General features: G+C 35.8%; 1 protein-coding gene across 5 annotated transcripts in view; it reads left to right on the top strand.

Moving 5' to 3' along the window:
• MSR1 (macrophage scavenger receptor 1) overlaps window positions 6,534-23,440 on the top strand; it is an 84,771-nt gene continuing 67,864 nt past the window's right edge. For 3 of the 5 annotated variants that reach the window (NM_138716.3, NM_138715.3, NM_002445.4), the window contains exons 1-2: window positions 6,534-6,587; window positions 21,193-21,299. In NM_138716.3, coding sequence (NP_619730.1) covers window positions 21,197-21,299 — 103 coding nt within the window. In that variant the 5' untranslated portion in view covers window positions 6,534-6,587; window positions 21,193-21,196. Of the gene's footprint in view, window positions 6,588-12,912; window positions 13,027-21,192; window positions 21,300-23,440 lie in introns of those variants that run through there. The other 2 variants (NM_001363744.1, XM_024447161.2) reach the window with 1 other exon arrangement.

The following is a 23,440-nucleotide window of genomic DNA, read 5'->3' as shown; positions in this document are numbered from 1 at the left end:
TAAGATGCTGGGTTGCTTCTCTAGGGGCCGATCATTGAAGAAGTAGTGGATTTTTGAACTGGTACAGTTTTTGAACTAAGATGTTATGAATCTCCACAATAATGAGAATTAGGTTTCTCCTCAGCAGACTTGAACATTTTTGGATTGTATAAGCCAAGTAGCTCATTAAGAGGCCACCCAACATTCCTAGACCATAAATATTTATTTCATTTTTAGGTAATTAATATGGAGGATTCACTCTCCTCTGTCTCACAAATCTCCTGCTAGCCTACCAGTCTGCCAAACCTAATCAGGAACCAGAGGTCAGGGGAGTCATTTGATTCTGTCCAAAAAGATCATCCTTTTGGAGAAAACAAAAGGGTGAAGAGTGGATCTGGAGTGATAAATGAGAAAAGTTCTATCCCCCAACAGAGACCAGGAGACAGAAGTCTTATCCTTCCTAATGACTACTTTTCAAAGGAATGGCTTTCAGGTCCTTGAAAAAAAATACTCCCAGGTCATTGAAGAAGACACTCCTAGGTGATAGGAAACATATATACATCTCAAAAGGATAGAGAAATAATTCAATGTTGTAAGCCCTTTTTTAGTAAATGTTCTATTAAAGGAGTCCGGGGACTTATTGTCAGGTATTGGCTAGAACAAACAGTAAATTCAATGACAGTCCTGAGCTATCCTAGGCAGGAACCCAAAAGGGGGTTGGGTGGTCTCAGAGATATGGCCTTGAGCTGCTAGAAGCCTTGTTAAGGTTTGGTGATTGCTTCTTGAAGAGTAGATAATAGAAAACAAAACGAGTTTGGTGAAGTCTCTCAGTGCAGGTGTTTAAGTGGAGTGTCCCTATCAATCATTTTTACAGTTCTCATTACCACATTAGAATTTGCCAATGAGTGGTGCTCCCAAGTGATTTGGGAAGCAAAAGAGAAAAAGACATGTATTCTCTGATAGCAGGAAGATCAAACAGCAAATGACAGGTTTGAGCTTTGGAAGTGCAAACCAAAAAGTATCTGAGACAGGTCTCAATTAATTTAGATGTTTATTTTGCCAAGGTTAAGGACATTCCTGGAAAAAATGAACACAGTCACAGAAACCATCTCTGGTCTGTGACTTTCTCCATAGATGATATTGAGGGCTTCCATATTTAAAGGGGAAAAGCTGACTGGAGGAGGGTATGGCAATGCACATCTTGCAAGAGAAATGGAGCAGGTAGAGGGATAATCAATCATATATTCCTCTCTTGCTCACTAAATCTACACTTTGCATAAGATAAAGTGAACATGAAATAGCTACCTGTGGAGATATTTAACCTTTTATCTGTAGCTATCTGCTTAGGAACAAAATGAAAGGTAATTTCAGCTTTCAACTTAAATTCTTTTTTCTTTTGGCAAAGTTAATTGGGTTCCTGAGTTCCTATTTCCCTTTCACAAAGGCCATCTTGGAGCTTTAAGCAGTAGTTTATGGAGATATTTGGAGGGGAACTGAAGATGTATAGAATAAGCAATTATGTATGTTTATGAAGGCGACGTGAGCCATGTGGCTTAGAACATCACAGAACATACATTCTAGTTCATGCTCTCTCACTAGCCAGGTGGCCCTAGATAATTTATTCAAGAGTCTTTAAGTTTTCTCATTGCAAAATAAAGAGGGTTTGCTATGAGAATAAAAGGCAATCGGGCATATGAAATTGCTATAAAGTCAATGGTATCCACCTTGCAACAATCCTTTTGGCTATAGCATAAATTCTTTTCTCTCATTTGGGCCCCTAGGCTGACATTCCATCATGATTTCACAGACTTCTGGTTAAGAATTTGCTTAATGCATTTTGCTCTGGCTTAAATTAATTGACACTTTTACAAGTTTGAAACTCATTTAAACTACATGGGTCTTTCCTACAATTCTGAAGCCATAGTTCCCTAAACACAGTGCAATGTGCATTTATGTTTTTAAAATAGCACATAAAAGTGATCTCATATTCACTTTCATTTCCTTGCATTTTTGTATCTTCTTAGTTAAGACATCATCACGAGGAAAGGGTGAATTGTCAAATGTTGCTTGCAGGAGACAGCTGATCTTGCAAGGAAATTAGTCATTCGTATTTTGGGCATATGTTATCCATTCTACTTCCCTAACTGTCTAAGGACAGTGTGACTTTTAGGGTCTTAGGTATGCTTACTTGCCTTTTAGTGTGAGGTTGTATATTAATCTAGCTAGGAGCTGGGTTACGTCTAACATTTCCTGTAGATACAGCTGTCAGAAGCTAAAATTACCTGTAGTGTCTCTTTGTTGCCTCTACTGTATTTAGGTTCCCCTACAAACTTCCCTTTCAAAAAAAACCTTGCATCTCTTTCACCTGTCATCCACTGTTATCATACGGGAGCTCTGTTGACGGAGGGGTGAGATGTGGGGGCGGGGTGAGGTGTTCTATAGTCTTCTGATTAAATCTCAGTCTTTTAGTGGGCCCTTGTCCCCGGACTGTGACCTGTGACCTTCATGAGCGTTTCTAAACTTTTTTTTTTTTTTCCTTTTTCTCTGCCAAGTTGAACTGCAGCTGGAAGACTAGAGGGAGCGAGCATTGAATAGTTACCCTTCAGCTGCCTAGCTAAGATAACGCTCTGATAAACTCTTTTCACTGGGGAGTAAGCCTTTGTTACAGGAAATGCTCTACGTATATTTTAAAATCATTAGATTTCCCTTCTCTCTGCCAGGGACATCAGGTGATATTTTTTGGTATATACTGTGAGAACCAAGTTGTATTCCTGGAAGTAAAGCCTGTAAGTGTTTAGGGGGCGCCTTGAAGACTGCAGCCCCCAGGAGGCTCCAGTGCTCACACTGGTCCATACTCAGCCTCTTGCCAAATTCCTGCTTAGGTGTTCCTGCCAGTTTGTGGTTCCACTGGCATCAGCTGCAGGTGATCTGGTGTCTGCTGTGATGCTCTGTAATCTCCTCTCTCTCCCGGTTTCAGGCTGGTAGTTTCCTTGAGACCTCAGTTCTCTGATGGGTCCAAGACGTCATTGATTTTTAGTTTCTCCAGCTTTTTTCGTGGTGTCGAGATATGAGTGATGACTTCCAAGCTCTTTAGATGTTGAAGCTGCAACTAGAAGTCTTCCATGAACTTTCTTTTAAAAATAGACAGTATGGCATAGTGCAGTGTTTCTCAAAAGAAAATAAATATATTGATCTCTATACCTTATTAAGTGTTGATATATTATTTTATTATAATTTTATGTTAAAATAGAGAAACACGAATTTAGACCTAAACACTGTAAGCCTACAGTTCTTAACCAAGTTTTTGAAATATAATGCATATGTTAATTAAATTTTAAAATCTCGCAAAAAAATTAAAATTTTAACTAACACCACCAATTTAAGATTGTGTGGGCAAGCCAAAATATTATTATAGGTTTAATAGAAGGAAGATACTATTCAATTCTGATACTGTCCTTGGTCTGTTTCTGTATTTGACTTCAATAATTCTCATATAGGAAAGTTCTGTTTAATAAGGCTATATAAAATGTTACTGGTACCTTCACAGTTTTCTGCTTATGATTATCAAAGAAAAAGCTCTGCCAATATGCAATTTTTCAATGTCAATTTTATTAAAGAATGTTTTGATAATTCTGTAAATGCTTTATAATCCCACAGCAATATGTGTCCGTTGCAGCATTATTAAAATCTGTATTTATATCACTATTTACTTATTGCTTTGAATTAAGAACATGAAAAATTTTATCTCGAAACTTTATCATATATATATCATACAATAAATAAGTCATAATGTATTAACTATATATTATGACTAACAACCTGCTGTAACTTTAGACATACAAAAATACCTCTTAATGAGTGTAAAATGTTAACTCTTCTTTTGAGTTCAGTATACCTGTACCACAGTGAGTCCTAGGACATTTGAATCAATTCTCTCAAGCCATTTGCCTATTTGATTATGAATCTCTGTTTGGTCACTGGGCATAATCTTACATGGACCTCATTCTAGACACATATATCCATAAGCAACAAAAATAAAGTAATTGGGATCCATCACAATAACTATGAACAAAGTAACTATCCACATGATCTGGAATTTGCCCATATTTGTGGCTTGTTTTCTGTATACTGTTTTTGATGGAGATATTATAGTCCCCTAATAATACATATACCTACTTCAGCTTAAGAAAAAACTATATTTTGCCAAATTTTGTAATCAGACTGGGTTTAAATACCAGCTCTGATGACTCATAACTCTGATCTCGAGAAATTTACTTACCATCTCTAAACATTAATTTCTCAATTAGGGAAGTGATATGACAAAGTTGCTGTGAAGTCAAATGAAGGAATGAATGCAAAATCCCAACCCTTTACATATTACCTCTGTTCTCAATTAATCATTGGCTTGAACTGAACATTTTTAACATGGTTCCCTGCTAAAGGTGTTTTTACATATAGTAAGACCTAATAGATAATATTATGTTACATAATCTATAATTATTATATATAAAACTATATAAAATTATATAGTACCTATTTAGACATATAAAAAGGGAAGTTTTTTAATGAAAAATTAGATTGGCTGAAGAGTGTGGAAATCATCACATAGGGAAGTGGTCAGCACTGTGGATATACACCAAACAGTATTACAGAGACATACTGAAAATAAAGCACACTGACAGAAAGAAACCTCATTAGGATAGAATTTTGGGAGATTGGTGTCTTGTTATTCCCAGAGTCTGACTTTTCTAATCACGTAGCATTGTCAGGGATATCTAAATTTTAAACTTCAGATTTTGTACAAAAAAACCTAAAAGGACTATATTTTAAAATAAGAAGCATGTACAAATAATTGTAAAGGAAAGAGTGTGAGTTTTGTAGTCTCCAGTTCTGTGTCAGTAAGAATTTGATGAGGAATAGCCAATAGCATTTATGCTGGTCCAGGCTGGATCAAATTGTGATCGTACTTCTAGTCTTCAAGCTGCCTGGTTAGAAATTATGCAGCTTACTTTGATGCCTGTCCTACTACTACTATTAGCCTTTTAGTGGTTACCTTAAGAATAACTGAATAATACTGTTACTTTGCATCTCTCAAAGACCGTGCGCTGTTCCCGCATACTTTCTTGCAGACGTATTGTCTTCTGAAGGATGGTGCCCATGGGCACAGCAATTTGGGGCATCTTTTGGTAGGAAGCATGATTTCTCCTGTTTGGGCACAAAAGAGTGACTACGGAATATAAGCTAAACACCTTCTCCCAGAAATATCAGTTGTAAAACTTAGCTCATTAATGTAATGTTGAACGTTTTCATGTGAGTCATACTTGAACTTCTTGAATGTGAGTAAATAACGGAGTTGAATTGTATAAAACCCTGATGGATGGCAGAAGGGAAAGAACATCCCTTTCATCTGATCCATGCCTGAGATTCCTTCCCTCTACTATACTACTGGAAATAAACAACTTGTCTGGTGCTCTAAAAATTAATGCTATTATCATTATAGAGAGAACAGGAGTGAGTGCTTTTAGGTTATTACTTGTTCTTACTAAGGCATCATATTCTTTCTTCACGTGTTTTGTGTTTGAGGCTAGGGATAAAGGTACAGGAAAAAGGATCTAAGAAAAAAACTCGAATCTCTAAACATGGAGTCTTTTTTTTTTTTTTTTTTTTTGAGGTGGAGTCTCACTCTGTTGCCCAGGCTGGAGTGCAGTGGTGCGATCTCTGCTCACTGCAACCTCCGCCTCCTGGGTTCAAGCAATTCTTCAGCCTCAGCCTCCCGAGTAGCTGGGATTACAGGCGCATGCCTGGCCAATTTTTGTATTTTTAGTAGAGACTAGTTTCACCATGTTGGCCAGGCTGTTCTAGAGCTCCTGACCTCAAGTGATCCAGCCACCTCGGCCACCCAAAGTGCTGGGATTACAGGCATGAGCCACCACACCTAGCCAAACATGGAGTCTTTACTCAACATTATAGTAACGTGAAAGAGGAGATCATGAGAATTAATGTATGTTTTAGAAGGCATAGATTACTTATAAAAAAGGAAAGATCAGGCTGGGCACGGTGGCTCGCGCCTGTAATCCCAGCACTTTGGGAGGCCAAGGCGAGCGGACCATGAGGTCAGGGGATCAAGACCATCCTGACCAACATGGCGAAACCCTGTCTCTACTAAAATACAAAAAATTAGCCGGGTGTGATGGCACACGCCTGTAGAACCTGGGAGGCAGAGGTTGCAGTGAGCGGAGATCACACCACTGCACTCCACCCTGGTGAGACAGCGAGACTCCATCTCCAAAAAAAAAGGAAAGCTCAATCTGCTGTAAATTATGTGCTTGTTTCAACAACCCTTGTTTCTTTTCCTTTTCACTTCTCTTTTTTTTTTAAAGCGGCCTAAATGGGGTGAAGAGTGAGTTATCTGACAAATTTAGATTTTGCAAACCTGTGCATTGATGAGAGTGCTATTGAAACACATTAAGAAAGATTTTCAACGCAGGAATGTGTCATTTCCTTTCTTCATGTACCAGATGCTGAAATACTATGAGATAAAGATTTTAGGTTTCAATTGTAAAGAGAGAGAAGTGGATAAATCAGTGCTGCTTTCTTTAGGACGAAAGGTAAAGAAAAAAAAAGGCTTATTTTAATGTTTTTTCCAGAATTGTTTCTATTGATTGTTATGTGTGTACTCTGTGTGTGTGTGTGCATGCATGTGTGTGATATATATTTGTGTGTCTGTGTGTGTATGATGAGATGAATGCTTTATTGTATCAGCAATAATTTGGTTTGGTTTTTTTCGATAATCAAAAAATAGGGATTTCTGCTAAATTTTCCATGAGTGAAAAACATATATGTTCACAAGTACATATGAAATACACTAAATGCTTTGTAGTTTGAACCAGCAATGGGGTTTTTTCATATAATTAAGCATATTTTGTTTAAAATACTGGTTTTATTCAAAGTATAATTTGACATATTTCACCTATTCTCCTTTCATAACTTTTCATGGAACATTTTTGGCTTTAATCTAATGCCTTTTATTATCTTCCCTTGATTATATAGCAAATATTGGCTGGGTATCTACTATATGCACTTCATTGAACTAGATGTGGGGAAAGGATACAAAAAATAAGATATAGTTCTTTTTGTGCTCCGGAATCTTATGATTTAAAACATATCCCCAAATAGGCATAATGTAATTTGAGCACCTTAAGTAGTATGAAAGTACTATAGATAATTACTAGCACCTTAAGTAGTATGAAAATGCTATAGATAATTACTATGAAAATATAGGCGAGGCCAAAATTACTTCTATGTGAAAAAAGTCTATCAAAAATAAATCTTCATGGAGATGCTAGAAATCTGATTAATCTTGAAGACTAAGTAAGATTCACACAGCATATAATGGGAGGTTGGCATTTGCACTGACCAGGTAAAAATACTTATAGAAAAACCATAGAACTGAGATTACAGATGTTTTATGCAGTGATTAGCCGTTTTATGCAGTGGGTAAGAGCTAATCTTCTGGGAGTAGACTGCCTGTGTTCAAATTCCAGCTCCCCTGCTCCCTAGTTGAGTAACTTGACTAGTTACTTACACATTTCAGTTCCCTAACCTGTAAAATGGAGAAAATACTACTTGTACCTCATGAAGATTCCGTGAGAACAAAATAAGAAAAGCTCATATTTAAAAAAAAAGTGATATTTTAAAATAACAGGGATTCATATATTGATGGTTTTCTGTGTACCAGGCAATTTACAAAAATTATTTTTAATTCTCGCAATAATTCTTTAAATTTATATTGTGATCATATTTTACATATCTAAAGAAAGTTCAATTCAAATAAGTTAAAATATTTGCCTAAGATCACACAGCTAAATGATGTCACAGTCAATACTCAAATCTAGATTTCAGATTCAAAAGTTGATGCTCTTTCTTCTTTGCTACCAAGGATGAATATCAGTGACATCAGGCACAATATAAATATTTCCATTTCTTACTAAAATCTGTCTTACAGACGGGTTCCTTAAGCATAAAGCTGTTAGTTTCACAAATAATCTTAATTTAATTTTCATTTTATATACACATTCAACTGCTGTTACAAAAATCAAAGTTATTATTTTATATAATAAGGAGGATCACAAGCTTATTATTTATTCCAAATGTTGAAGATAAAGTTGGCCTTAAGAATATGATGGGCCGGGCACGGTGGCTCACGCCTGTAATCCCAGCACTTTGGGAGGCCAAGGCAGGTGGATTACCTGAGGTCGGGAGTTCAAGACCAGCCTGACCAACATGGAGAAACCCTGTCTCTACTGAAAATACAAAATTAGCCGGGCGTGGTGGTGCATGCTTGTAATCCCAGTTACTCCGGAGTCTGAGGCAGGAGAATCACATGAACCCAGGAGGCGGAGGTTGTGGTGAGCCAAGATCACGCCATTGCACTCCAGCCTGGGCAACAAGAGCGAAACTCCATCTCAAAAACAAAAAGAAAGAAAGAAAAAAGAAAGAATATGATAAAAAAACTAAATAGGGAAAAATCTTAGGAAAACGAATGCATGTCAAGTATGAAAAGACAGATGGTAAATATGTATTAAACATAAAGAGCTGATTCACATGCTTAGGTAAAAGAAACCTGTGGGGATGTATAAGCAGTGAATATGAATAGATAATAACCCAAGAAGAACAATGTATGACAGACAATTACAGTGAAATCTCTCTCTTACATTAATAATAAAAAATAAAAATGAAAACCACTTTTAGGTATTATTTAACTCTTATCAAAATCTAAATGATTCTAAAATAAGCTTTATTATTCAATGGTAGTGAATTTTGCTTGAAACTGCCATATTCACATATAAGTCTGGAATATTTATAAATTTATGTTATCTTTTTAAAGATCACTAAGACAGTAGAGCCCAAGAAGTTCAAAATAGTTTTCCTTTCACTTTTTAGTTTCACATATGATGAATTATCCTAAAGAAACATTTTAAAAGAAGAAAGCTAAATTATGAAAATAATGGCCGGGGCAGTGGCTCACATCTGTAATCCCAGCACTTTGGGAGGCCAAGGAGGGTGGATCACCTGAGGTCAGGAGTTTGAGACCAGCTGGATGAACGCGGTGAAAAATACAAAAATGAGCTGGGCATGGTGGCAAACGCCTATAATCCCGCTACTCGGGAAGCTGAGGCAGGAGAATCACGTGAACCCAGGAGGCAGAGGTTTCAGTCAGCTGAGATCACACCATTACACTCCAGCCTGGGTGACAAAGCAAGACTCAATCTCAAAAAAAAAAAAAAAAAGGAAATATTTATAACATCATTATTTATATCAGTGAAGCATTGCCCCCTGGGAAAAGGAAAAAAAGTTTAAAAGAAAAAATTATATTTTAGAAAAATGGCTGTATTTTTTATTTAGAAAAATGGCTGTATAAATAAGATTTTATATATATATAAAATATATATAAAATAAGATTTTATATATATATAAAATATATATAAAATAAGATTTTATATATATATAAAATATATATAAAATAAGATTTTATATATATATAAAATATATATAAAATAAGATTTTATATATATATAAAATATATATAAAATAAGATTTTATATATATATAAAATATATATAAAATATATATAAAATAAGATTTCATATATATAAAATATATAAAATATATATAAAATATGATTTTTTATATATAAAAATATATATAAAATAAGATTTTATATATAAAATATATAAAATATATATAAAATAAGATTTTATATATATAAAATATGATTTTATATATATAAAATATATATAAAATATATATAAAATAAGATTTTATATATATAAAATATATATAAAAATATATAAAATAAGATTTTATATATATATGAAATGTAAATAAGATTTTATATATATATGAAATGTAAATAAGATTTTATATATTTGAAATATAAATAAAATAAGATTATATCTAAATATATATAAAATAAGATTTTACATATATGAAATATATATAAAATAAGGTTTTACGTATATATGAAATATATGTAAAATAAGGTTTTACGTATATATGAAATATATGTAAAATAAGGTTTTGCGTATATATGAAATATATGTAAAATAAGGTTTTGCGTATATATGAAATATATGTAAAATAAGGTTTTATATATATAAGCAAGTCTTTGCTACATAATAATTCAACACATATATATATGTTGTTTTATATATATATATATATATATATATATATATGTATGTGTGTTGAATTATTAGGTAGCAAACACTTGGAACCAACCCAAATGTCCCTCAGTGATAGACTGGGTAAAGAAAATGTGGCATATATACACCATGGACTACTATGCAGCCATAAAAAAGATGAGTTGATGTCCTTTGCAGGGACATGGATGAAGCTGGAAACCATCATTCTCAGCAAACTAACAGAGGAACAGAAAAAGAAACACTGCATGTTCTCACTCATAAGTGACAGTTGAACAGTGAGAGCACGTGGACACAGGGAGGGGAGCATCACACACCGGGGCCTGTCAGTAGGTGGGAGGCAAGGGGAGGCATAGCATTAGGACAAACTCCTAATGCATGTGGGACTTAAAACCTAGATGATGGGCTGATGGGTGCAGCAAACCACCATGGCATATGTATACCAATGTAGCAAACCTGCACGTTCTGCACGTGTATCCCAGAACCTAAAGAATAATAAAAAAAATTTCAAGTTTGAAAAATTCGTTTGAAATATTAAAATAATGAGGTGATTTTAAGGAAAACGCGTAATACCAAATGATACGTGCATGATGATATGAACTATGTTACAGGTATACATACATCCAAAGACTCGAGTTTCATTTAAAAAATTAAGGGTTTTTTTCCTTTATTAGGGTGATGAGATGACAGAAATTTCATCCTAACATATCTATAATATTATTAAAATGTTTTATAATAAAAACAAAAAAGTAAGGTATATGGTTCCCAACAAATTAACCTTGAAATTCTTTCATTATGAATTTCCTGTAAACTTTTCATCCACTTGATAAAATGCTGATATTACAGAAACGTGTTTCACTTCTCATGAGCACGTGCTTTTAATAGATTACACAAACTCCAAGGATTTTACAATCGTTTATCAGCACACTGACATTTAATAGGAAGAGTAACTTTATGTGAAGCTACTTTTTGTCCTAACTGTGGAACTGATATTAAAAGGCACACTTGAACAGTGTGAGTTGTTCACTGCCTGCTAATGAAGGCTCATGCAAGTATGTATGTTCACGTTACTAAAAAATTACAATGATTATAACCAGAGTAAGCAGCTGAAATAATCTGGTAATTTTAATAATAAATGCTTTTGAAGCAAAGTGGGTTCACTGAGGGTAATATTTTTTGTTTCAGTTTGCTAGTTACGTGCAGTGCAGAGAGAAATATTTTATTTTCCAATATGTAACAGAAGAATTTTTAAAATCCCTACTTTAGTGAACCACAAAGTTTTCTTGAGGCATAACCTAAGATATAAAATCCAGTCATCTTGAAAAATATCTTGCCTTTCATTTATTTATGTAATTTTAAATACGGCATTATGTATGTAATGAGCACCTTCAGGAACTCTCTGATCCCTGAACCAAAGAGATCAAAAGTCCACATCATGGATCTGGCTTGGATGAGAGAAGACAGATGATAGACAAGACAAATAAGGAATATATGTTTTTGGGGGAAAGAAAATGAAGCCAGGGTGGGGAAGACAAAGCCCCAAGGGGTTGTAGGTTGAAAATGGATGTTCAGGAACAGTCAGCTTGCTTGCTTGCTTGCTTTTTCTTTCTTTCCTTTTTTTTTTTTTTTTTTTTTTTTTGGAGACAGAGTTTTATTCTTGTTGCCCAGGCTAGAGTGCAGTGGCCTGATCTTGGCTCACTGCTACCTCTGTTTCCCAGGTTCAAGCAATTCTCCTGTCTCAGCCTTCTGAGTAGCTGGGATTAGAGGTACCCGCCACCACACTCAGCTAATTTTTTGTATTTTTAGTAGAGACAGGGTTTCATCATTGGGCCAGGATGGTCTCGAACTCCTGACCTCAGGTGATCCACCCGCCTCAGCCTCCCAAAGTGCAGGAATTACAGGTGGTCTGCTTTTTTGAGTCAGACTTTAATGACGGCCTGAGTGAGACGAGAAGGCATTCAGGGGCTTTGAGCATGGGAGTGACTCAATCTGCCTTACTTTTTAAGAGGATTCTTCTGGGAAGTGTGTGGAGAATTAATTCAAGAATGTAAGCGTGAAAGTCAGGGAGCTATTAAAATCAACAAGGTGAGGCCATGCTCAATAGCTCATGTGTGTAATGCCAAAAATTTGGGAGGCTGAGGTGGGTAGATTGCTTGAGGCTAAAGAGTTTGAGATCAGCCTGGGCAACATAGTAAGACTGCATCTCTAGATGGGCATGGTGGCATGCACCCGTAGACCCAGCTACTCAGGAGGCTGAGGTGGAAGAATCACTTGAACCCAGGAGGTCAAGGTTGCAGTGATGTGATCACACGGCTGCACTCCAGCCTGAGCAAGAGAGCAAGACCTTGTCTCAAAAAAAAAAAAAAGAAATGTCACGGTGAAAGGGATGATGGGGCTTGGACAGGATGCTAGCAAGGAAGTGACAAGAAGCCCTCAGTTTCTACATAGCGTTTGAAAACAAAGCAACAGGGTTGGATGAGAGATTGGATGTAGTGGATGAGAAAAGGCGAGGAAAAGAAGACCTCTAGGTTTGCACCATATTAGAATTCTAAGCAGGGGTGTTGTTAGGCAGTGCATATATGGGTTTGTAGTTGAGAGACGAGCTATGGGCAAGAGATAAAGACTTAAGAGTCATCAGCCTTCTAGATTATATTTAAAGCAATGAGGCTAGTGAGATCACCAAGGGAGTGAAAATAGGAGAGAAAACAGAACAGAAACTGGACCCTGGCTCACTCTGCTGTTGAGACGTTGGGGAGATGAGGAGGAATACCCAGAAATAAATAAAACTCCCCTGGATGTGCTATCTCAGTGCAATCATCAGTATCTCTCTTCTCAACAAAAAACCGTGAGCATGAACAACTTTCATTTATGCACTCAGGGACTTTCATTTTTATACATTTATTACTGCCAATCTTGCAAGGTTTTATTTCTGCTTCTACCACACAGGAAAAACAACTTAAATTCTATGTGGCAGGTTATGGATTTCTTGCAGGCCACGAACTTCTTTGTTCTTTTCCATGACCCTGACTGCTTCTTGTTTTTCTCTTGCAGCGTCAAAAAGTTCTTCCTTGTCTTTTGTGCTGAGTCTTCTTCCTCTACTCACCCACTGAATATCATGTTTTTCAAGTTTATGTGTGTGGTGTTTTTTTTTTTTTTTCCTGAAAAAAGGTATCTTCTACTGTTTGACTTTTTCCCTACGATTCTTTGTTAAAATGCTGTGTTTTAGATGCTATTAATTTGTCCTCTCTCTTAATGCCCTTGGATTTTCCTCTTAATTGTCTGCACCATTGCTGTTACCCAAGATGCCTGGCTGGAGTAGATAAAAATAAGCCGAAGTCCAAAAATTGGAATAGAATGGAAGGAATGGATCAAAGGAAATCAGGAGTTTTTGTGCAGTCAGATATGGGTCTTATAGATGAGAGCGGTCTAGAAAAGCAGTTCTGGGCTCAGATTGCGTGACTGTGCTTTGCCGGCATATTCCTAACTATATCACATATTCTCCACTATACAGTAAGTAGATGATAATAATAAGTGGGTATGATAATAAATAGATGATGTAAATGGATGATATAACCACAGTGAAAATCCTGGAAAAAGAAAAGTTAGGTTGCTGTAGAAAATCCACGTTTGTAGCTAGTTGTGTTATGTAAAACAAAAGCTGATGCTGAGATTGAGATCTGGTTTGGCTATATTGGCTTGATCAGGACACAGGCAGTAGTTCAAGCCATGGAAGTAGATGAGATTCTCAGAGAGACTGTGCAGACTAAGAAAAAAGAAAGTAACATCAGAAAATGCCACAAATCCTATGGCTTCATTATCTCTGATGAATGTGAGCTTTTTTTTTTTTCTGGAAAATATACATACCAACATTTCGTGCAGTTCATGATAAACCAATCCCTTTTGAACATTGCCCAGAAAGCAAACAGACTTCCCATGGTGCACAAATGTAGCCATAGGGAATATTGTTCATTCCTCATTGCACTGAGTATGCTTCAGTGTTCACCTCCCTTCTGGCCCACTACACCTGTCAGGGGTATTTTATAGACTAAATAGTGTCAGTTAGTCTAAATCACTCATAGACATGTACTAGGTGGTTTTCCTTTTTCAGAGATTAAATAAATCTTCCCAAGGTAACCACGGTTTAAAATATAGTAATCCACAAAATATTTATTATCACTTCTATATGCTAAAAAAAAATAAATCAAAGGTTAGAAACTTAAAGAAAAAACAAAATCAAGCTTCATCTCTAGTTCAAAGTGAAAGGGAGAAAAGCAAAATGTTTCATAAACAATATATATTGTCTCACTAATAATATTAATCCAGGTCACTACTGCCAAAGCAAACAATAAATTTTTACTTCATTTGTATAGATAGTAATTCAATGTTATATTTTGGGTAGGTTGTGAAAGCCAGATCAATTTATGCGATCAGAAAAATAAAGGAAGAAATTGATGAGTCGGATGCTACCGGCTACATGCCTCTCCAGCCTCTTCTTTTTGAACCTCCTTTGTACCTGTTTAGAGAAAAAGCATAAATAGTGTACTACCAACCTAACTAAGGTTATTATAGTCTGTTTGTTTAAAATACCATTTTTTTCTCCTTTTGTCTTTTTCCCACTCTCGAAGGTACTCAAGAAAATTGAACAGATGTAATAGATCAAATTAAAACATTTTATTTCCTGAAAGCCTTTTTTGCCTGTTGTAATGTGCAGGACCCCTCTCCTTTAATGGGAGAGACAGGAAGTTACCTGAATCTAGGCTGAAAAGGTTATGTGAAAAGAAAGTATAATAATAAAAGGGACACTTGGCTTTTTAAATCTTTGTTTTCTCTTAACCTAAGTAAGGCATATTAAAAATAAATGTTAAGGTGAAAAATAAATGTTGTCTTTATGAAAAATTAAAACTGCTCTCAGTTCCATATTGTTCATACCTTCATGCTTTTTAACATGATATTTTCCATCCTGGAATGACCTTACCCCAGATTCTGCTCATTTTCAAAACCCTGATTCATTGTCATCTTTTCTGTATTCCTACCTTGATTACCCACTTCCCCAAAAGAGTTAATCACTCACTTTTGTACTATGCCTGTGCCATATATATATATATAATTATATATTATATAATAATATAAATATATTTAATATTATATATTGCCAATTCTATGATATATAAAATATATAATATATAATATATTTGCCAACTAATATAATATATAATATATTAACATAATATAAATTACATATAATTATACATATATTTATATTATATATTATATAATTGCCAAATATATATGGTATTACATATAATATAATTGGGAAATATATATTTATAATATATGTTATATTAATATGATAATATATTTATTATATTATATATTATATATATTATATATTTGCCTATTATATAATATATTATGTAATATATTAACATAATATAAATTATATATTATATAATGTATATATAAATATGTATTACATGTTATAGATGTAATTATATAATGAATATTTATATCTATATAGTTATTCATCTATTCATATATGAATATTCAGCATATTCTATTTATTCAGTATATTCAATATTTATTTAATATATTCAATGTTCCAGGTTGCTTTAGGCTGTAGTGACATAATGTGGACAAAAGCAGACATGGTCCCTACTCGTTCAGAGTTCAGAGTGTAAAGATGTTTATCAGATTCAAAAGTCTTCAGCTTTTTTCACAAACGGTCTTACCTGGTAGATAGAATAATCTGAGCTGTTTATTTTGCATTTCAGTAAAAATGGAGGCAGAATATCTCAAATGTGAGGATCAAAGCCATAATCAAACATGTGGAGAAGGGGCCAGTAGGTAGCCTGAAAGGAAAGCTTTTCTGGTTATAGACATGCACTACATAATAATGTTTCAGTCAACACAGGACCATATGTATGATGGTGGTCCCATAAGATTATAATGGAGCTGAAAAATTCTATCACCTATTGACCTCATAGCTGTTCTAAGGGAATAGGAAATTGCATTACTCACATATTTGTGGTGATGCTGGTGTAAACAAGCCTACTGCTCTGCCAGTCATTTAAAAGTATAGCACATACAGTTACGTAAGTATTTAATACTTGATAATAAATGTTAATGGTTTATGTATTTACCATATTATACTTCTTAATCATTATTTTGGTGTGTACTCCTCCTATTTATAAAAAAAGATTCAACCATAAAGCAGCCTCAGGTATGTCCTTTAGGAGGTATTCTGGAAGAAGGCAATGTTATCATAGGAGATGACAGCTCCATGCCTGTTATTGTTTCTGAAGATCTTTCAGTGGGAGAAGATATGGAGGGGAAGACAGTGGCATTGATGAGCCTGACCCTGTGTAGGCCTAGGCTAATGTGTGTGTTTGTGCCTTAGTTATCAACAAAAAAGTTAAAGAAGTAGAAACATTAAAAAAAAAAAAAGTTAAAATAGCTTATAGGATAAAGCTGTTTAGAAAGAAATTATTTTTGTACAGCTACACAATTTATGGTTTAAGCCAGGTGTTATTATAAAAGAGTAAAAATGTTGTTTAAAAAGGTTTCTAAAGTATTAAAGGTACTGTAAACTAAGGCTAATTTATTATTGAACAAATAAAATTTTTTATACATTCAGTGTAGCTTAAGTGTGCAATGTTTATAAAGTCTACAGTGTTTCACATTCACTCACCGCTCACTCACTGACTCACCCAGAGCAACTTCCAGTCCTGCAAGTTTCATTTATCCAATTGCCCTGTACAGGTGCAGAACTTCGTATCTTTTATACCATATTTTTACTGCATTTCTCTATGTGTAGATATGTTAGAAACACACATACTTGCCATTGTGTTCCAACTGCCTACAGGATTCAGCACAGTATAACATGCTATATAGGTGTGAATCCTAGGAGCAATAGGCTAGACCACACAGCCTGGGGTGGGTTTGTTGCCTAGCAGCAGTAGGCTAGACCATCTAGGTTTGTGTAAATGCACTCTATGATGTTCACACAGCCATGAAATTGACTAGCAATGCATTTCTCAGAACGTATCTTTGTCCTTAATTGACACATGTCTATACATACCAGGTATACTTGAACACAATTTTTGCGAATCCATCTTTTACAAACTGAGTTCAAAGTTAAAAAGCATTAGTACATAGTTCCAATTGCCTTAAACTATAGGGTTTTCGTTTTTCTTTTTTTTTTTTAAATTATACTTTAAGTTCTGGGATACATGTGCAAAATGTGCAGGTTTGTTACATAGGTATACACATGCCATGGTGGTTTGGTGCACCCATCAACCCATCATTTACATTAGGTATTTCTCTTAATGCTATCCCTCCCCTTGCCTCCCACCCCCTGACAGGCCCTAGTGTGTGATGTTCCCCTCCCTGGGTCCATGTGTTCTCATTGTTCAGCTCCCACTTATACGTGAGATCATGTGATGTTTTGTTTTCCGTTCCTGTGTTAGTTTGCGGAGAATTATGGTTTCCAGCTTCATCCATGTCCCTGCAAAGGACATGAACTCACTCTTTTTTATGGCTGCATAGTATTCCATGGTGTATATGTGCCACATTTTCTTTATCCAATCTATCATTGATGGGCATTTGGATTGGTTCCAAGAATGGCGATCATTAAAATTCAAGAAACAACAGATGCTGGAGAGGATATGGAGAAATAGGAATGCTTTTACACTGTTGGTGGGGTGTAAATTAGTTCAACCATTGTGGAAGACAGTGTGGCAGTTCCTCAAGGATTTAGAACCAGAAATGCCATTTGACCCAGCAATCACATTACTGCGTATATTCCCAAAGGATTATGAATTATTCAACTATATTTTAAAGTGAATTTTGCTAAGTTTTATTGTCATGTCAGTTTTTTTTAATTATTTGGTTTTTTTGTTCATTTGTTTTGCTTGGTGAGTAAAACTGCTCTTTAAATCTAATAAAGGGAGGAAATAGAGAAGAGTGTGGATCTAAATAATCCAGTTTGGCTTCTTACAATAGTTCATTTTCCCAGATAATTGTTTATTTATTTTGCTTTGCCTCTACCTGAGAAAGGAGAAGATTTGGGTTCTATGCCTACCTCCCTTCATTCCCTTTCTCCACAGTGGTCAGATCCATTAAAGAACAGAGTCCTTGGTCAGATCAACATAGCATTCATGAAAACCAACTCTCAGAAAGGAGGAATATGCAACGACTGTCACTGCAAACTTCCAAATAAAGAATCTTCTTAGTGATATTTTCAAAATATATTGACAGGAGTTGAGTCATATCCTTGCATGTCACTGCCTCTCCCCACAGTGGGATGAACATTTGCATCTGAATGATCGCCCTTCATTTCCTGAGCTGGATTTGACTTTGCTGTCCTAAAGATGCCAGTGCACTCAGTTAGAACTGTGCTGTGCTAAGTCCATTACACAGCATTCAAGAAAATAAGAAATGATCAGAAGATGTTGGCTTTATGCTAAATTTGTCAATCACATGAACGGAACTGTGTCCAACAAAAGAAGTCATAATCACCTTTTATGGAAAAGGTTCTTAAAATGTGGTCCTCAGACCAATTGCATCACCTCTTGAGAATTTGTTGGAATTGCAAATTCTTGAGCCCCCACCCCAAATATCAGAAACTCTGGTGGTGAGGCCCATCAGTTTCTTTTTATCAAACCTTTCCAATGTTTCTGATACATGTTAAAGAGACACAGGAACATTTTTAAAAGCTGCTTAGTATGCACATAAAATAGAGATTATGCTGGAAAAGGTACAAGGACATATTTATATGGCTGCCAATGTAAAATGAGAAAAGCTCTGGAAAGTGAAAGAGTGAATGAGAGAAGAGAGAAGGGAGAGAGAGAGAAAGAAGGGAGAGAGAGGAGAGAGGGAGAAGGGGAGAGAGAGAGAGACAGACAGAGAGAAAGAGAGAGACCGGGTACAATGGCTCACACCTGCAATCACAGCACTTTGGGAGGCAGACTTGAGGTCAGGAGTTCAAGATCAGCCTGGACAACATGGTAGCAGTGAGCTGAGATTGCACCACTGCACTCCAGCCTGGGAAACAGAGTCAGTGAGACTCCGTCTCAAAATAAGTAAATAAATAAATAAATACTTTTTTTTTTTTTTTTTTTTTTTTGAGACACAGGGTTTCACTCTTCTTGCCCGGGCTAGAGTTCAGCGGTGCAATGTCGGCTCACTGCAAGTTCTGTCTTCCGGGTACAAGCGATTTTACTGCCTCAGCCTCCCGAATAGCTGGGATTACAGGTGCCACCATACCTGGCTAATTGTTTTGTATTTTTAGTAGAGCTGTGTTTCACCATGTTGGCCAGGCTGGTCTCGAAATCCTGACCTCAGGTGATTCACCCATCTCAGCCTCCCAAAGTGCTGGGATTACAGGCGTGAGCCACTGTGCCCGGCCAATAAATAATTTTCTTAAAAGATCCAGGAAATATTTATTTAGTCCAAATATGCAAAACTATTTGTCCTAAGGGAAATTATTGTTTTTTCAGCAAATAGAGTAATTAAAATAATACTAAGGAAATTCCTTATTTGGCAGTTCGCAATGACAATTTGTATGTGCATCATTTCTGAGAACTGTTTTTTCTGAATCCTATGTTGATATGGACAAGGACTATGTTCTCTAATGGATTTAAACATTGTGGAGGAAGAGGATGGAGGAAGGCAGGCATAGTTCCCAAATCCTCTCTTTTGTCAGATAGAGGCAAATTAAAACAATTATCTGGGAAAATTGACTTTTGTAAGAAGTCAAATCAGATCATTCAGATCCAGACATTTCTTTATTTCCTTCCTTTTACTCTATTAAATTACTGATTAAATCATTTTACAAGTTATTTTCTGTCACCTGTAAAAAACTTTTCAGCTAAGAAAGAAGAGATACCTCTTTTTCCACACTCAAAAAACACACCTCTAAAAATAGACATACATGTTTGTAAATAGAAAGATACATGAGAGGGTTCCACATACATCTGTCTTTTTACGTGAAAGTTAAAACTTATGGGTAAGTTTAATACATTGCTGTATATGAGAGATATACAAATTTAACTAATTATGGTTTTTTTGCTAAAATTAAATGTTATTTATTACAGATTGTGTCATAGAATATAGATTCCGTTTCATTTTTTTTTAAATGCTCATCATCACTGGCCATCAGAGAAATGCTAATCCAAACCACAATGAGATACCATCTCACACCAGTTAGAATGGTGATCATTAAAAAGTCAGGAAACAACAGCTGCTGGAGAGGATGTGGAGAAATAGGAACACTTTTACACTGTTGGTGGGACTGTAAACTAGTTCAACCCTTGTGGAAGTCAGTGTGGCAATTCCTCAGGGATTTAGAACTAGAAATACCGTTTGACCCAGCCATCCCATTACTGGGTATATACCCAAAGGATTATAAATCATGCTGGTATAAAGACACATGCACACATATGTTTATTGCGGCGGCACTATTCACAATAGCAAAGACTTGGAACCAACCCAAATGTCCAACGATAGCCTGGATTAAGAAAATGTGGCACATGTACACCGTGGAGTACTATGCAGCCACAAAAAAGGATGAGTTTATGTCCTTTGTAGGGACATGGATGAAGCTGGAAACCATCATTCTCAGCAAACTATCGCAAGGACAAAAACCCAAACACCGCATGTTCTCACTCATAGGTGGAAATTGAACAATGAGAACACATGGTCACAGGAAGGGGAACGTCACACACTGGGGCCTGTTGTGGGGTAGGGGGAGGGGGGAGGGATAGCTATTAGGAGATATACCTAGTGTTAGATGACGAGTTTGTGGGTGCAGCACACCAACATGGTACATGTATAATATATGACAGACCTGCACGTTGTGCACATGTACCCTAGAGCTTAAAGTATAATTAAAAAAAAAAAAGAAAAACTGAATAGATTCCATTTCAAACTGAAATTTCAGTTTAAAACATTATGCAAAAGAGCCCTAGCCATTTCATGTGGAATTAATATATTTTTCCATTTTGTTTCATAGAAGTATGGAGCAGTGGGATCACTTTCACAATCAACAGGAGGACACTGATAGCTGCTCCGAATCTGTGAAATTTGATGCTCGCTCAATGACAGCTTTGCTTCCTCCGAGTAAGTAGAGGGGGATGGGCTGCCCATGGAGGTTGTTCTTAGAGTTATTGACAAAATATAAAATTATAGTCTTGAGACTTACCTTAAATGTAAGTGGATGTTAAAATAATACTTATTTGACCAACAGGGGTATTCTTGAGACAGAATAAAAATAAGCTTAAATAAAAGTAAGGCAGTATTATATGAAATTAAATTAATCTACAACATTGATTGAGCCTTCTGGCTTCCCAGCTACAATATTAGGTTCTGGAGATAAATATGATCCTAGCACCGTGAGCTAATATTCGAAAATCATGGGTGGTAGGTGCCTGTATTAGTTTTCTAGAGTTGTTGTAACAAATGGGAGGCTTAAAACAGAAATGTATTCGCTCACAGTTCTGAGATGCAGAAGTCTAAAATGCAGGTGTCAGAAAGACCATGTGCCCTTTCGAAGGCTCTAGAGAAGAATCTTCCTGTGCCTCCTCCCAGCTTCTACGGGCTACTGGCAGTCCTTAGTGTTCCTTGCCTCTGTAGCTGCACCACTCATCTTTCCCGCCTTCTTCGTATGGTCTTCTCTCTGTAGCTATTTGTTCTTTTCTTACAAAGACATCAGTCATTAGATTAGGGTTCACCCTAATCCAATATCACTTCATTTTAACTTGATTACATCTCCAAAGACCCTATTTCCAAATAAACTTACTTTCACTGGTACCTATGGTTAAAACTTTAACATATCTGTTGGTGGCACAGAATTCAACCCATATAGCAGTGGTGAAACATGTTTGCACAGGTTACGACAACAGCTAAAAAGTAGCAATACTCAGCTGTATCTCAACAGGATCATTTAAGATGTCAGGAGAAAGTTACTTATAATTCTGCTAAACCTCAAAATATAAATACATATCGCTAAGGGGATGGGTGGAGGCAGAAAAGAAAGAGAAGATATTTCAGTGTGAAGAAGCAGCATATACAAAGTTAAAGCCTCATATATGAGTTCTTACATAGCAAACCTGAAATACAGACCTCAACTCCAGGGCACAGTGGATCTTGTGCTCTGTGTAAAGGATGGATGGGAGGATATGGCACAAGTGAGACACATGTAAGAAAAGATAACAGTGAGGGCTGTTACAGACAGAAATGATGAGAGTTTGAAGAAGGAGGAGAGAGACATCGGGAGCAGAGAAAAAGCAATCAAAATGTTTGAGAGCTATTTAAAAGGTAGAATTTACATTTGTGATGATAAATTAGAGATGAGAAGATGACTCCTACTTTTCAGGCTTAATCAACCTGGCAGGTGGACTATATCTCCACTTGCTTCTATTATGGGTTCTTTTTCTTTTTTCCTTCCATCTTTTCTTTCCTTTCCTTTTCTCTCTTTTCCTTTTTTTTTTTTTCTTTTTGAGACAGGGTCTCACTTTTTCACCTAGGCTGGAGTGCAGTGGTGCGATCATAGCCCATTGCAGCCTCAACCTCTTGGGCTCAAGCAATTCTCCTACCTCAGCCTCGTAAGTATCTTGGGTTACAGGGACATGCTACCATGACTGGCTAATTTTTGTAGTTTTTGTAGAGCCAGGGTTTCTCCATGTTGCCCAGGCTGGTCTCAAACTCCTAGGCTCAAGCCATCCTCCCGCCTTGGCCTCCCAAAGTGCTGGGATTACAGGCGTGAGCCACTGCATCCAGCTCTTCTCTTTTCTTTACTTTTTAAAAACTGTCTCTTATTTTCTTTTCAATACCTTAAAATAAAAAAGTTTGTTTTTAATTTAACAATTTGCAACCTGAAAGCAACATTTACTTTTTTTAATTGATCAATGAAAGCAATGACCATAGAAAATAAATTTTTAATGACCATTGTATTCAACTAATCAGAGAAATGACTTCCTCATCTACTGTTTCCCCTTTATATTGATTTGTCTCTACTACAATTAATATCCCATTATATAAATCACAGTGCCATATAAATGCATATGAATAAAAGGTTACTGTTATTAATATGTTCTGAAATATAGAGAGAGTGGGCTTCATTGATCCATTCTAAAGATTAGTAAAAATGTGAATCACTTTATTTCATTTTTCTTAAATATTGTTTACACTGTATTCAAATCATAAGAGGTATGCAGATACAAAACTATTGAGAAGGAATTGAACAAGAAAATTATTTTAAC

The sequence above is a fragment of the Homo sapiens genome, chromosome 8 (assembly GCF_000001405.40).
Source record: "Homo sapiens chromosome 8, GRCh38.p14 Primary Assembly".
Taxonomy (NCBI): Eukaryota; Metazoa; Chordata; class Mammalia; order Primates; family Hominidae; genus Homo; species Homo sapiens.
This window is presented reverse-complemented; position numbering and strand designations above follow the sequence as displayed.